Raw genomic sequence first — 16,685 nt, forward strand, 5'->3', positions numbered from 1 at the left:
CATTAATGTATTATGCTCATTAAAGCCATATATAAAAAGAGAAATGTAAAATGGGGACATAAGAATAACTATAAAAATAAATTTAAGAAATAACTATATTGCACTGGATGCAGTGGCTCACATCTGTAATCCCAGCACTTTGGGAGGCAGAGGTGGGCTGATCACTAGGTCAGGAGTTCGAGACCAGCCTGGCCAATATGGTGACACTCTGTCTTTACTGAAATTACAAAAATTAGCCGGGCGTGGTGGTGCACACCTGTAGTCCCAGCTACTCGGGAGGCTGAGGCAGAGGCACAAGAACTGCTTGAACCCGGGAGGCAGAGGTTGCAGTCAGCTGAGATCACGCCACTGCACTCCAGCCTGGGCAGCAGAGTGAGACTCTGTCTCAAAAAAAAAAAAGAAAGAAAAGAAATAACTAATAACTATATTGGCTGGGCACGGTGGCTCACGCCTGTGATCCCAGCACTTTGGGAGGCCAAGGCGGGCAGATTACCTGAGGTCAGGAGTTCAAGACCAGCCTGGCTAACATGGTGAAACCGTGTTTCTACAAAAAAACTAAAAAACTTAGCCAGGCGTGGTGGCACGTGTCTGTAATCCCAGCTACTCAGGAGGCTGAGGCAGGAGAATTGCTTGAACCTGGAGGCGGAGGTTGCTGTGAGCCGAGATCACAACAATGCACTCCAGCTTGGGCAACGAGAGTGAAACTCCGTCTCAAGAAAAAAAGAACTAACTATAAAAAATAAGTTATTGGCCAGGTGCGGTGGCTCACGCCTGTAATCCTAGCACTTTGGGAGGCCGAGGAAGGTGGATTACAAGGTAAGGAGTTTGGGACCAGCGTGGCCAATATGGTGAAACCCCGTCTGTTCTGGAAATACAAAAATTAGCTGGGCGTGATGGCAGGTGCCTGTTGTCCCAGCTACTTGGGAGGCTGAGGCAGGAGAATTGCTTGAACCTGGGAGGCAGGGGTTGCAGTGAGCAGAGACCGCGCCACTGCACTCCAGCCTGGGTAACAGAGTGAGGCTCTGTTTCAAAAAAAAAAAAGAAAAAGAAAAAGAAATAAGTTCTTATCTTTTCTTCCTCCACTCCAGTGAATTTTCTCCCCTCCTCACCCCCACAGGGTGCCTGTATCTCATTTTATTTATTTTTTATTATTACTATTATTTTTGAGAGTAGCTGGGATTACAGGCAGGCACCACCACACCCAGCTAATTTTTTTTGTATTTTTAGTAGAGATGGGGTTTCACCATGTTGGCCTGGCTGGCCTTGAACTCCTGACCTCAGGTGATCTGCCCACCTTGGCCTCCCAAAGTGCTAGGATTCCAGGCATGAGCCACCGTGCCCGGCCTGCATCTCATTTTAGAAACCAGACTATTCTGTCAACATCTGCGTACTTGCCAGCTGCCTATTTTACAAGTGCAATTTCACTTAAGCTTCATTGCCACCCTGGGCGTTTCTACCTTTGCTTTCCATATCAGATCAGAAAACAAACTGAGCTAGGCTACATGACTCATTCAGGACACACAGTGAGGAAGTTAGGAGCCTGATGTTGACTCCTGTGTTCGTTTGCTCAGGCTGCCAACACCGACTGGGGGCTTCAATAATGGAAGCTTATTTTCACACAGTTCTGGAGGCTGGAGTTCCAAGATCAAGGTTTTGGCAGGTCTGGCTTCTTCTGGGGCCTCTCTCCTTGGCTTGCAGATGGCTGCCTACTCATGGGGTCCTTACACGGTCTTTTCTCTGTGCTGACACATCCTGGTGTGCCTTCCTTTTCTTAGGAACAGCAGTTCTGTTGGATTAGGGCCCTGCTCTGTGACCTCATTCGAACTTATTACCTCCTTAAAGACCCTAACTCCAAGTACAGTCATATTCAGAGACACTGGGGGTTAGGGTTCCAACGTATAAATTTTGGGGGGACAAAATTCAACTCATAAGAGTTCCCAGGCCTATGCTCTCTAGTCACTGGGCTGCCCTGCTTGGCTGGCCTGAGCATGTGACCTGAGGACACCCACTACAAAGATAAGTGCCCCTATGGCCTTCCAGGGGACAGCCCCAGCAGAATCTTAACACTCCTGTAAGATCTCTTTATCCCCTGCTTCCAGGATCCTGGTGCACCCATCCTTCTGCCTGGAATATCCTCTTCTCTCCTCTAATCTGCTCCCTTGCCACCTTCCCCACCTCCCCACTGGTCTAAGTCCTCTCTGTCTTCTCTGTTCTTCCAGCAAACTCCAATGTCATCTCCTCCATGAAGCCCTGGCTGCCACTCACAGAGAAGCAGGCTGAGTCCTGCACCAGGATGCCTGGCTGAGGAGCAGAGTGGCATAAAAGCATTTGCTCTTTGTTTGCAGGCCGCTGGGCCCAGGAGGCTGGGTCTGTTCAGGTAAGCTCCTTCTAATTTGCATCAACACTCATAAGGGGTAGGATGGCCCTGCAGTGTTGCTAGAAGTGATTTTTCTCTTCTGTTCGTTTCCATAAAATTTTATGGTACCTCTCATATACCATTCTGTGTTACTGGTATTTTTGTATTTGAATTGTCTTCTTATCTAGAAGGTGAGTTCTGAGAGTGCAGGGATCTTATCTTATCTTCATTCATTCATTCATTCATTCTTTCTTTCCTGCACTCACTCCATAAAGACCATTGAGATTCCACTGTGTTTGTTCAATTAAAGCTTGCTGAAAGAATACCTCAGTGAAATGCCCCCTGCCCAGGTAGCCTGTGCTCCTCCTGTATCTTCTTCATTCAATCCTCCCTGCTCTTTCATCCAGTTTACAGAATCAGACCCTCCACACACTGGCTTTTAGAGCTAGGGTCAGGTGTGGGTGGCCAAGCAGCATCTGATATGAGCAAAGGTGGCCCTGCTCTTCTCTGACCTCTTTACAGACCCCAAGTGCATTCTTTGCCAAAGCCACCCCAACCCCATTCTCTGCGAGCATTCCCTCCCCAGCTGCACCCTGCCCTCCCAACTCCTAGGATAGTCCACGTGGCCCTAGTAGTGTAGATGGAGCACATTCCAGGGCTCCCTCAGAGGGAGGACAGAAACTTGTGGAGCAGGAGGCGTCCCTTAAAGGAGGCAGGCAGAGAGGTGGGCCCTCGTCCCGGGTCAGGATCCTAGCAGGAAGCAGATACACCTTAGCTTCTACTGGGGAGTTGCCAGGAAACGATTGTGCGTCAGTCTGCACACTCCCAGTTGGTAGCTTCTGGAACATGGAGTAGAGAAACCTGGAAAAACTGAACAAGTAGAGCAATTGATTTTGTTCACACAATCGCAATAGGAAGAACACCCCAGATATGAAGATTAGAGTAATGGAAGGCAGGTTTTTTTTTTTTCAAGCAAACTTTTCATTGAATGTTAACAAGTTTTTACATACATGTGACCGCTACCACAATGAAAATACAGAACAAACATTTCCATTGCCCCCCAGAGTTCTCTTGTGCCCCATTCCATTTGACACCCCAGCCAATGGCCCAAGGCAAGCATTCATCTTCTTCTGTCATGATTATTTTTTCTACAGTTTTATATAAATTGAATTATAGGGTTTATAAGTACTCTTGATATCTGGTTCTCTCTCTTTTTTTTTTTTTTTTTGAGACAAAGTCTCGCTGTGACTCCCAGGTGGAGTGCAGTGGCATGATCTCGGCTCACTACAACCCCTGCCTCCCAGTTCAAGCGATTCTCCTGCCTCAGCCTCCTGAGTAGCTGGGATTATAGGTGCCTGCCACGACGCCCAGCTAATTTTTGTATTATTAGTAGAGACGGGGTTTCACCATGTTGGACAGGCTGGTCTCGAACTCCTGACCTCAGGTGATCCACCTGCCTTGGTCTCCCAAAGTGCTGGAATTATAGGTATGAGCCACTGCACCCAGCATGATTATGGTCTTAAAATACAGAGTGACTTATGATTTATGCCTGATTCTCTGGTGGCTGGGGAACCAAATAGTCTGAGAAAATACTTGGGTCAGTGGGAGCATTGGGATGACTGGAGGTGAGGAAGGGTTTGAGGTGTGAAACATCATTTATGGGAGGCTGTTGTTATGGAACTAGTCTCCTGCACTAGGCCCCAGCAGGCCAGACACCAGAATGGAGTCAGTTGTGCTAAGTGCAGTGTCATCAAACTGAACTTTGAAATGGGCCAGTTCCCCTAAAACATTCCATTTAATCTGCATCAACCTAAGTAATAAGGAAGTCCCCTCTGCTTTAACCCTGTAGGGAAAGTAACTTTGACATGATCAGTCCGTGTTTTGTTCTGTTTCTGCTTTCTGCCGCTCTTCTCTGCCTGCAAAGCCAACCTCCTGTGCTCAGCTCATTTTATAGGATGAGGTGTTGCTCACTTCTAGAATTGCAAATAAAAGCCAATTAGATCTTTAAGTTTGTGCTTCTGTCTTTTGACAAAGGTTCACAACTTCTCCAGCCCTCCACGAAGAAGCTGGAAGGAGCAGGGTGCACAGGCTCTTTGAAGATGCTGAGTGAGGTCCCAGGGCACCCACAGGAGCTGCCACCTCAGCTCAGGGGACACAGCTACTCTGAGCCCCTTTGCTCATGGGGGAAAGGGCGGGGGAAGCATGCTATCCCGCCCCCGCTCCCTACCCCAAAAAAGCTGCTTTGTCTTCAGAGGACCAGGAGTCCTGATTGGGCAGCCTCTGCCGGGAATGAAATGCATGTCCTTCGCACTTCCACTACCGTTCTATTTTCAGGCTGATTTATAACTAAAACGTGAAATAAGTGCTAGGAAAGCATTTAGCATTGTCTGACACTGCCTCAGCACACTCAGTTTCCTCTCTCTTCTTCATCAGAATCTCTGCCCGGCCAGGCAGCAGGCGCTGACTCTCGCACTGTCCGGTTCGAAGAGCTGTTTTCTGCAGGTACTTGCAGTAGCAGCTGGCCTGGGACCCACCCCCGGGCAAAGTCCGCTCCGGAGTCTGTCACTTCCCGGCGCGGGCCACCCAGCCCCTGGCGCCCTGGCGCTCAGCGCTCCGCGGGCGCGCCCTCTGGCGGCAAGAGCCCTGAACATTTCGCAAGCGGCGAAGGCTGGCGCGTGTTATCCTGGGCACCCACCGGACCGAATCGCTGGGCAGGGCTGCAAGGTGACTTGCTAACGCAATCAGACCAGAAAGGAGCGCGCGTCTAACTAAGCGGGGGAGGGGAGAAGCATGTTCATATTTTGTAAAATGCAAGTGGCACCTCTCCCCATTTTCCTCAAAATTTTATTCTGAAAAACTTTAGTACTTAAAAGTTCAAATGCTTTTACAGTGGACACACATTTATCTATCAGCTAGATTCTGTTATTCACATTTTACTCTATTGGTTTCATTGCATATCTGTCCATCTATTCATCCCTCTTTCCATCCTTCAAACTATCTTATTTTTTCTTTTTCTTGTTCTCTTTTTAATTTTTTTTTTTTTTTTTGAGACGGAGTCTTGCTCTGTCGCCCAGGCTGGAATGCAGTGGCGTGATCTGGGCTCACTGCAAGCTCCGCCTCCTGGGTTCACGCCATTCTCCTGCCTCAGCCTCCCGAGTAGCTGGGACTACAGGCGCCCACCACCACGCCTGGCTAATTTTTTGTATTTTAGTAGAGACAGGGTTTCACCGTGTTAGCCAGGTTGGTCTCTATCTCCTGACCTCGTGATCCGCCCGCCTCGGCCTCCCAAAATGCTGGGATTACGGTTGTGAACCACCGTGCCTGGCCCCATCTTATTTTTCAGATGCATTTCAAAAAGTAAATTGCAGACATTAGAACACTTCCCCCTAAATATCAGCCTTCAGCTTTTAAAGAAACAAATTGAAGAGATTGCTAATATTTATTTTGTTATAGTAGAATTCTTTTTTCACATGGTGTTCTTAAAACCCTTTGAAGTAGGTTTTATTTTCTTTTTCTTTTACTAAAAAAAAATTTTTTTTTGAGACGGAGTCTCGCTCTGTTGCCCCAGGCTGGAGTGCAGTGGCGGGATCTCGGCTCACTGCAACCTCTACCTCCCGGGTTCAAACGATTCTCCTGCCTCAGCCTCCCTTGTAGCTGGGACCACAGGCGCGAACCACCACGCCCAGCTAATTTTTATAATAATTTTTTATTTTTAGTAAAGATGGGGTTTCACTATGTTGGCCAGGCTGGTCTCAAACTCGTGGCCTCAAGTGATTCACCCACCTTGGCCTCCAAAGTGCTGGGATTACAGGCGTGAGCCACAGTGCCCAGCAGCTTTGTCCATTTTCTTTTCTTTCTTTCTTTTTCTCCTTTTTTTTTTTTTTTGAGACAGGGTCTCACTCTGTTGCCCAGGCTGGAGTGCAGTGGCACAATCTCAGCTCATTGCAACCCCCGCTTCCCAGGTTCAAGCAATTCTCCTGCCTCAGCCTCCCAAGTAGCTGGGATTACAGACATGTGCAACCTTGCCCGGCTAATTTTTGTATTTTTAGTAGAGACGGAGTTTCACCATGTTGGCCAGGCTGGTCTTGAACTCCTGGCTTCGAGTGATCTACTCACCTAGGCCTCCCAAAGTGCTGGAATTACAGGTGTGAGCCACTGCGCTTGGCCTGCTTTGTCCATTTTCTAATGGAGCTATTCGTGTTTTTATTATTGAGTTGTTTCAGTGTGGGTATTAGTTAGGAGATAGGGGGTTGGCTGAATTAGTTCACCATCTGAGCTATCTGGAGATAGATGGGTCACAGAACACTGTCCCTCCTCTTAAAAAATCAGATTTTTAAGACATTATACAATCTCAGGTAGGTCAAAATTCAAGTAAGGCAAATTGGAGTAGGATGCTCCAAGCCTCACTAGCCCTGTGGAGAAAGGCTCTCTGGCTGTGTAATCTTGAGTAATATTTAACTTTTGTGAGTCTCAGTTTTTGGGCCATTTTATAGGTGCATGTGCTCTTTTTTTTTTTTTTTTTTTTTTTTTTTGGGACGGAGTCTCGCTCTGTCGCCCAGGCCGGACTGCGGACTGCAGTGGCACAATCTCGGCTCACTGCAAGCTCCGCTTCCCGGGTTCACGCCATTCTCCTGCCTCAGCCTCCCGAGTAGCTGGGACTACAGGCGCCCGCCACCGCGCCCGGCTAATTTTTTGTATTTTTAGTAGAGATGGGGTTTCACCTTGTTAGCCAGGATGGTCTCGATCTCCTGACCTCATGATCCACCCGCCTCGGACTCCCAAAGTGCTGGGATTACAGGCGTGAGCCACCGCGCCCGGCCGCATGTGCTCTTTATGTGAGTCTAAGATGGTAAGGGCAGCAACTCGCCCTTGCTGAGCACCTTCCTCGTGCCAGGGGCTGGAGCAGGTGCTGCATGGGGGAGGCATGCTATCCCACCCCCCTCCCCCAGAATCAACAGGAGCCATTGCTCTTCTTTTTCACATCTGGAGGCTCAGCTCCAGCTCTCAGGGATGGCAGACTCAGGTCTCATGAAGGAAATTCACACTTGCATCATCAGAGTAACCAAAACCACTTCAGATTCATGATGGATGAAGGGCAGGATGACACATCCAGCTCTGACTTGGTCATCAGATGCAACAGGGATACTTTAGGATGTTTCTGCAGCATCTGCTGTGACAGGAAACCTGGGAGGCAGAGTTTCCTGCTCCAGTATTTTGTCTCTCCATGAGGGATGGCGTGGAGGCAAAGATGGCAGCTCTTGAGGAAGGCACTGGCTCACAAGATGGTGGCTCTTGGGGAAGACACTGCCTCACTTACAAGATGGCAGCTCTTGGGGAAGACACTGGCTCACAAGATGTTGGCTCTTGGGGAAGACACTGGCTCACTTACAAGATGGCAGCTCTTGGGGAAGACACTGGCTCACAAGATGGTGGCTCTTGGGGAAGACACTGGCTCACTTACAGGATGGCAGCTCTTGGGGAAGACACTGGCTCACAAGATGTTGACTCTTGGGGAAGACACTGGCTCACAAGATGGTGGATCTTGGGGAAGACACTGGCCCACTTCTGCATCTAGCCTCTTGGAAGGAAGGGGCAGAAGAGGAGGTCTGGTGGATGTACACAGAGAGTGAACATACAGTGGCCCTGTGCACTAGCAAACACGACTCTGCCGGTGGCCTGGAACGGAATGGGACTCCATAAGACCCCCGTTTCCACTCTTAAGTGAGGAGTGTGTAGGGAAATGTACAGGTGTTTTCTCTGCTCCCTGCAGGCTGTTTCTACTGCCTCTTGTCAGCCCAGCCTGGGTTTAACTCAGCAGTTAGTTCATTCATCTGTTCATCCATTCTCAAACATTTATGGCACATTTCCTCTGTGTCAGTGTTGTTTCAGCCACTGGGGTTTCAAACCCTCGGTCAGTCCCAATATCCTCACCATCAAGGAACAGAGAAGACAGCATAAGGGAGGCAAAATTTTTTACCTATACCCTCTTATGGTGTTGTGGCTGGGCCTGAGGATTAAACTGACATAAGGCAGATTTACAGGAGAAAAGCAAACAAATTTACTTAATATAAATTTCATGTGACATGGGAGCTCTCATGAGAAAATGAATACCCAAATAAGTGACAAAACCTAAATGCTCTTATATTAAGTTGAACAAAGGCAGGCAATTGTGGAAAAGTAACTAAAGTATGTGAGGGGGCTGACTGGGTGTGGGGCTAACACCTGTAATCCCAGCACTTTGGGAGGCTGAGGCGGGCGGATCACCTGAAGACAGGAGTTCAAGACCAGCCTGGCCAACATGGTGAAACTCCGTGTCTACTATAAATACCAAAAATTAGTTGGGCATGGTGACGGGTGCCTGTAATCCCAGCTACTCAGTAGGCTGAGGCGGGAGAATTGCTTGAACCTAGGAGGCAGAGGTTTCAGTGAGCCGAGATTGTGCCACTGCACTCCAGCTTGGGTGACAGAGAAGAGAGAGACTCTGACTCAAAAAAAAAAAAAAAAAAAAGTATATGAGGAGGCTCAAGAAAGATACAAATTTTAACAAGACTTACTTTTATAGGATTCTCTTGGTCTCAACTTCCCATCTTTGATAATAAGAACAAACGTTCCTTCTGGCACAGGGAGGACCTCTTCTGTAAGGAGGTGTTATCTCCTTCTTTCAGGAAGAGAAAGGGAAGGGTCAGAATGCCCTTCTTTCATGTATTTTTTAAAGTGCCTATAGCTCAAAATAATCCTTACGCCAGAGCAGCATATGTTGATGTGGCATATTCTGCCAGCTTTCAATGTGCAAGCAGATATTTGTATATTTGAGTACTCTGTGAAGCTGGATTTTAAAAGCTGTCCCAGTATCTTCAATGTCTGGCCAGATATTAAAAGTCACTATGAGATGGGCTCTTTTGTTTCCTGAAGAGCCACTTGGGTAGCTCCTATCAATATGCAAGGGGAGGAACGGTAGATAATCCTTTCCTGGGAACAGAGGCTAACAGGATGCTTTATCTGGCTCTTCAAGGCTGCTTCTCCCCTCCAAGTGCAAGGGGATGTGGCTGGGGGAGGTGGCGGGAGTTGGAGAATGCATCGACTTGCATTAGAAGCCTAGAGGCCTTGTGGAAGGAAAAGGACTGATATTCCAACCCCTGTCTGGAATTAAAAGATCAGGAAACCTGTAGGAGTATAGAACACTTGGTCCTGAGCAAGGCCCTATGAGAGGAAAGGACGCCAAGGGCCTTGGAGTACAAACTCACTGTGAGGGAAGGTGAGATGGTGACCCTTGGATTTGTGAGAAGACACGGAGCCGGCTCTGAATGTGGCTGTGGTTGGGGATCCAGGCATGTCCTGTGCTTTAGGCAGAGTTTGTGCCTATGAACTAGGAAGAATAACTTGAAGTTCCAGTGTAGAACACTACTCTTGATTGTACAGATCTGGGCCAGCAAGGGTCTTAGCTGGAAGGAGGCAAGGGGGCTTTGGGCTACGCTGGGACAGTGTTCAGAGTGATGGTACAGAAGCCACTGTGTGAATTGGCCAATTGAACTCATTGGTTTGCCTCTCTTTTCTTCCTTTCCTTTCTTTTTCTTTCTCCTCCTTCTACTTTCCTCTCTCTTCATCTGGTATTGGAAGGTAGAATTTTTGCCAAAGGTGCCAAGAACACTCATTGGGGAAAGGACAGTCTGTTCAATAAATGGTGCTGGGAAAACTGGGTATCCATATACAGAACACTGGAACTAGATCTTGATCTCTCACTATTTACAAAAATCAAATCAGAATGGATTAAAGACTTAAATGTAAGACCTGAAACTATGAAACTATTAGGCAAAAACATTGGGGAAATGCTCCAGGACATTGGTCTGGGTAAAGATTTCTTGAGTAAGACCTCACAAACACAGGAAACCAAAGCAAAGATGGACAAATGGGATCACATCAAACATAAAAGCTTCTGCACAAACGCAAAGAAAACAATCAGGAAAGTGAAGAGACAACCTACAAAAATGGGAGAATATATTTTCAAATTGTTCATCTGACAACAAATTAATAATCAGAATATAAGGAACTCAAACGACTCATATATTATTTTATGTATTATTTATATATTAATTGCTGAATACAATTTCTCAAATCAGTGGCGTTTATAATGTATGTAGATGTACCATAATGACAATAGTGGTAGAAAGGACTAGGCGAGGTTAATGAAACGATAATGTCGCAAGTGACTCAAAAGCCAATAGAGGAGTTAAAATAGAATACTAAAAAAGTTTGATTAACCCAAAGGACAGTAGAAAAGAAGGAACAGAGGAACAAAAAAGAGATAGGACAAATAGAAAACAAATAATAAAATGATAGACCAACATATCAACATTTGCATTAAATGTAAAAGGACAAAACATAACAATTAAAAGACAGAGATTATCAGGCTGAATAAAAAAGCAATTCCCGTCTTTATGCTCTATAAAGTGTGCCTATAAGGACACCCTTCTAATGTAAAGACACAGATAGTTTAAAAGTAAAAGAATGGAAAAGTACATACCATGAAAATAGTAAGTATAAGAAAGCTGGTGTGATTATAACAATATTAGACAAAATAGACCTCAAGGCAAGGAGTATTATGAGATACAATACAGATTATTTTATAATAATAAAAGAACCAAATCAGCAGGAACATACACCCCTTCTATATGCATATGTGACCAATGACAGAACTTCCAAATGTATGAAACACAAACTGAGAAGATTAAAGGGACAACTAGGCAAGTCAACGATCCTGGTTGAATATTTTTAACATCCCTTTTTCAGTAATTAATAGAACAATTAGACAAAGGCATCAGTAAGAATATAGAATATGTAAATACTATCAGTTACCTGGACCTAATTGCCATTTATAGGAGATTATACCCAAGAACAGAATACACATTCTTTTCAAATGCACCTGGAATATTTACCAAGTTAGACCATATGCTGGGTGATAAAATAAGTCTTAATAAAATTCAAAAGATTAGGAAAAAAAAAAAGCTTAACAGTGCAGGTTGCTGGACTGATATTTAAACAGCTCCCTGGGTCATGATCCCAAAGCTAATGTGGGAGAGCTCTATGACTGGAAATGGACATTTACAAGTCAGCAGATGATTCCGGCAGCATTTTGCATAGGAGATGAATGGACATCTGGATTCACAGAAGCTGGATTTGAAATAAATTCTCTATGTCGTCCAGCCTGTCTGTCTCAGTCCCTGAGAATATTTCTGGTAATCTATTTATCACTGATTTGAGAACAAAAGGGGATTAAACTGGCCTGACCCTCGAATTTTCAGCTCCAGACTTTCTGGTTCTTCAGCACCTGGGAAGAATATTAACTACTCATAGTAGAATGAATCACGTTGAGATACAATATTAAATAATGTGTTTTATTAAAGGAGCACACTGGGTTGTAAAATGTGACACTGAGTATTTCTCTACAAGCAGACTTGAAATCTTGCGATTCTTTCTAAACATGTAAAGCCTGTGATGGGTGCTCCAGATGATAACTAGCTCTATATTTCCCAGAGTAGTACCTTTCCAACCCAATCCTTACCCATTTTTCTTATTTTTCTGTGCTTTAATATTATTCCCATAATATGATCATATTATCATCAGAGTGACTATGAATAATGCTTTGGCTGTTTTATAATGAAGCTTCTCAACATGATTGATGCTGTGGAAACTGATCATTAAGCTTACTGGAAATGCATAGAAACAGCTCCTTAGAGTAACTGTAAAGAGGAATTTTATTCCAACACTTGAGCATCACATTCTGTCTTCTTTCTGCTCCAAGTCTCTCTTTCTCCATCTAATCCACTTACACCCCCACTGAATACAGACTCCTGAGTTATTGTGATAATATGGGAAAGTGATAGCATGGAAAAGTGAGAGTTCAAAGATAATTTCCCACCTGGGATCAGGCTGTCTACTACATGAAGAGTACAAAAAGGTGGGAAACAAAAGGGGAGTCTGGATGTCTAATAATTTTTTTTTTTTTTTTGCAAGAAGCTTTGAAATTTTGCCATGGTGGGTGCAGGATACCCAGAATGTCAGCTCAGCTGTTCAGACCTAGATCTCTTCTCTTAAAGATGCATTACCTGTAAAGTGACCCCATGGATGCCTTGTGTTTGATTCTTTATCATCCCGGGGCACTGGTGTCTGAGGGGTACCTGTCCCTTCCGTGCCCTTTCTAAGTCTTACTCACAGTCATTTGCAATAGCTGTCGTACATATCTTATCACCAGATCTATGAATGTTTCCACATAGGGACACCATTGATATTGTGGTGGCTAATGTATTATAAGGGTTATCTTAATTATTCTTTTTTCAGTCAGACACTTTAGTATTGCATAGACCCTATCATTATTGCCATATTAACACAGATCTTCAATAATAGGTCCCTATTGTTGGGCTCAGGGCCAGGTAATTTACTCAGGTTGATGAGGTGGCATTATTCTCATTTTACACATGAGCAAACAGAGATCTAGTGAATTTAAGTGATTTGCCAAAATGCACATAGTAAATTACCAGGTGATCCAGACCCCTGGCTCTTTCTAACACACCAAACTGCCTCAACATGGTAAAATGGGAGTTTGTAAGTTTGTTGATTATACAAGTCAGTTGATTTGACCTTCCATTAATTATAAGTCATTAACTCCCATCTGGCAATTCAAGCCACAAAATGTTCCAAGATAGGACAGGAATTTGTAGTGTCTTTAATTTCTGGTATTTGCACATTCGATCATTGTTGATGTGCTCAGTTTCGTTAATCCCTTTGTTACAAATACAGCACACCTTACTCAGCCCATGAACTCCTGCCACCCTGGACAACTATTTTGATTCACTGGGCCCACTAGGATGATCCAGAATGACCTTCCTTATCCCAGGATCCTTAATTTAATCACATCTACAAAAATCTTTTGCCATATAAGATAACACATGCACAGGTTTGGGATGTTAGGATGTGGATATGTTTGAGGGTCGTTATCCTGCCTACCAAAACTATTCTGCCATCATGGCCAAGCCAGAACTTTATTTTTCATCCTCCCTGCTTAGCACAAGGCTGAGCATGAAGTAGGTTCTTTTTTTTTTTTTTTTGAGACAGAGTCTTGCTCTGTCACCCAGGCTGGAGTACAATGGCACAATCTCAGCTCACTGCAACCTCTGTCTCTGGGTTCAAGCGATTCTCTTGCCTCATCCTCCCGAGCAGCTGGGATTTGGGGCACCTGCCACCATACTTGGCTAATTTTTGTATTTTTAGTAGAGATGGGGTTTCATCATGTTGGCCAGGCTAGTCTTGAACTCCTGACTTCAGGTGATCCACCTGCCTTGGCCTCCCAAAGTGCTGGAATTACAGGCGTGAGCCACCGCGCCCGGCTGAAGTAGGTTCTTAAGAGGGCTTGCTGAACTGAAGGGAATTCAGAGAGCTTGAACTTCCTTCTCCAAACCTTTGCTAGTAGCACCAGGTGGCGGTCCTTGGTGCTCACTGTAGGTCACAGCCGAGTCCCTCTGGCAGACTATGGAGTGGAGTGGAGTGGATGCCTCCAAGGAGTCCTTCCCCTGTTGGGGTGGTGGTGAGGGCAGTGTTGCAGACTGACCGACCTCCTCCATACTTTGTTTCTTTGCCAAGGGGTAACCATTTCCATTAAAATCTACCACATGCTTTCAGTGTATCAAATATATATTTGGTTTTGTGCTGTGCATGTCTTCAAAAATGGAGAGGAGATCCATGCTGAACAAACTCTGAACCAATCATACGGATTTGCATTCACGTGATGTGCAGCAAATAGAGTTCTAAGGAGTTCAGGCTGATTTACTGTAGCCCTAGAGAATAGACACATTCCAGAAATATCCCCTCTCCGCTAGCCTCCTCCCAGCTCTCTGAATTGCCTTAGCATCTATTCACAACACAGCGGGTGGTGTGGCAGGCTGATTTCCCTGAGGGCTGGGTGGGCAAGAGCAGGTGTTGGCCTGCACCCGGACAGAGGGTGAAGCCCTCCTGGGCCCCTCCTCTTCCCCCATCCCTGTCCCTGAACCGGTGTCCGGGGGACGCCCATCCCTTTGTTTAGGCAAGGCCTTTTTGGGTCTTATATTCTGGATTTTTGGGGACAAGGTCTCACTCCGTCGCCCAGGCTGGAGCACAGTGGCACAATCTCAGCTTACTGCATCTTCCACCTCCCAGATTCAAGCGATTCTCCTGCGTCAGCCCCTCGAGTAGCTGGAGTTACAGGCATGGGCCACCACAACCAGGTAACTTTTGTATTTTTAGTAGAGACGGGGTTTCTCCATGTTGGCCAGGCTGGTCTTGAACTCCTGACTCAAGTGATCTGCATTACAGACATGAGCCACCACTCCCTGCCCAGCCCAACCATCCTTGGTAAGTGCTGATGAAATGCTGAAATGGAAGCTACATTTAGTAATTTGGGGGTGATTGATTAATATTCATGGAAATGTTTGCATGCAATGCCAAATTAATGTATTTTAAAAGAGATTTATGTACAAAGTAAATATTTTGACAGAGACATGAAAATAACTGTGAAGGCCATTCCATCTGCTCCTTGTTTATTGCCTGAATATTTACATCACTGCATTGGAAACTCCACTGATTCAAGAATTAACGTACAGAAAAAGATTCTGTCTCTTTGTTCTGTGAGTCGGGGGTAAGGAGATGAAACACACAAGTGAGTGCACACAACCCCTAGAGATTTCCCCCCTTCCTTTTCTCCCCCAGGACTAATGTCACCCTCATTCCCCCAAGACAAGAAACTCTAAGAACGTGTTGCTGTTGTTACTGTCAGGTGCTGAGGTGGTTATGGTTGTATGGGGAAGGGAATGGCTGCTATTGAGAATCCTCAAATAGGGATAAGTATAGAGTAGGAAAGATACAACAGAGGGAAGGTCCTGTTTGTACTGAAGGAATTCTATTTTATTTATTTATTTATATCTTCTCATTTAGCTTTTTTATTTTGCATTTATTTATTTATTTATTTGAGATGGAGTCTCTCACTGTCACCCAGGCTGGAGTGCAATGGCATGATCTCGGCTCACTGTAAGCTCCGCCTCCCGGGTTCAAGTGATTCTTCTGCCTCAGCCTCCAGAGTAGCTGGGATCACAGGCACCCACCACCACGCCCGGCTAAGTTTTTGTATTTTTAGTAGAGACGGGGTTTCACTATGTTGGCCAGGCTGGTCTCGAACTCCTGACCTTGTGATCCACCTGCCTTGGCCTCCCAAAGTGATGGGATTACAGGCGTGAGCCACCGAGCCCAGCCATAGTCTGCATTTATTTATTTATTTATTTATTTATTTTTACTTTTATTTTAAGTTCAGAGGTACAAGTGCAGGTTCGTTGCATAGGTAAACTTATGTCATGGGGGTTTGTTGTACAGATTATTTCATCACCCAGATATTAAACCTAGTACCCATTAGTTATTTTTCCTGATCTTCTCCCTCCTCCCACCCTCCACCCTCTGAAAGGCCCCAGTGTGTGTTGTTCCCCTCTATGTGTCCATGTGTTTTCTTCATTTAGCTCCCATTTTATAAGTGAGAACATGCAGTGTTTGGTTTTCTGTTCCTGTGTTAGTTGGCTGAGGATAATGGCCTCCAGCTCCATCCAGGTCCCTGCAAAGGACATGATCTTGTTCTTTTTTTATGGCTACGTCGCATTCCATAGTGTATATGTACCACATTTTATTTATTTTTATAATAGAATTATTTATATTCTTTTGGGTATATACCCAGTAATGGGATTTCTGGGTCCAGTGGTATTTCTGTCTTTAGGTCTTTGAGGAGCCGTCACACTGTCTTCCACAATGGCTGAACAAATTTACACTCCCACCAACAATGGATAAGCATTCCTTTTTCTCCACAATCTCACCAGCACCTGTTATTTTTTGACTTTTTAATAATACCCATTCTGACTGGTGTGAGATGGCATCTCATTGTGGTTTTGATTTGCATTTCTTTAATGATCAGTGATGTTGAGCTTTTTTTCCTATGATTATTGGCCACATGTATGTCTTCTTTTGAAAGAAGGTGCACAGTTTTATTTCTGGGTTCTCTATTCTGTTCCACTGAATATGTGTTATGTGTCTGTTTTTGTACCTGTACTCAAGGAATTTTATATCTGTAGTGGCCTGAAAGAAAACCCACAGGACTTTTTTGGAATGTCAATGCAATATACATAGGAGAGGGTGGGTAGTCAGAGAAGGCTTCCAGCAGGCTTCCTGCAACAGGGTGGTTTTGAGGCCAACTTGGGAATGCCAACAAGAGTGAAGAGTCTGGCTTAATAGTTCCAAGCACAACGAATTAGGGGAGGCTGCCCCC

General features: G+C 45.2%; 1 long non-coding RNA gene across 2 annotated transcripts, besides 1 other annotated feature; it reads left to right on the top strand.

The window, feature by feature from the left end:
* The first annotated feature begins 1,537 nt into the window (after positions 1-1,537).
* LOC105370952 (uncharacterized) lies at positions 1,538-5,311 on the top strand. Of its 2 annotated transcripts, none has more exons than XR_932579.2 (3): positions 1,538-1,660; positions 2,220-2,377; positions 4,391-5,311. It is a non-coding gene; the product is annotated as an uncharacterized LOC105370952 (long non-coding RNA). The 2 variants fall into 2 exon arrangements; XR_932580.2 differs by having other exon boundaries at positions 4,790-5,311.
* Positions 4,882-5,141: a silencer, noted in NCBI's record as "silent region_6788". NCBI's record gives its function as "represses an Ori minimal core promoter by ATAC-STARR-seq in GM12878 lymphoblastoid cells {active_cell/tissue: GM12878}" and the evidence as "EXISTENCE:reporter gene assay evidence [ECO:0000049][PMID:35858748]".
* Positions 5,312-16,685: the final 11,374 nt, after the last annotated feature.

This window comes from Homo sapiens, chromosome 15 (assembly GCF_000001405.40).
Source record: "Homo sapiens chromosome 15, GRCh38.p14 Primary Assembly".
In the NCBI taxonomy this organism is placed as follows: domain Eukaryota; kingdom Metazoa; phylum Chordata; class Mammalia; order Primates; family Hominidae; genus Homo; species Homo sapiens.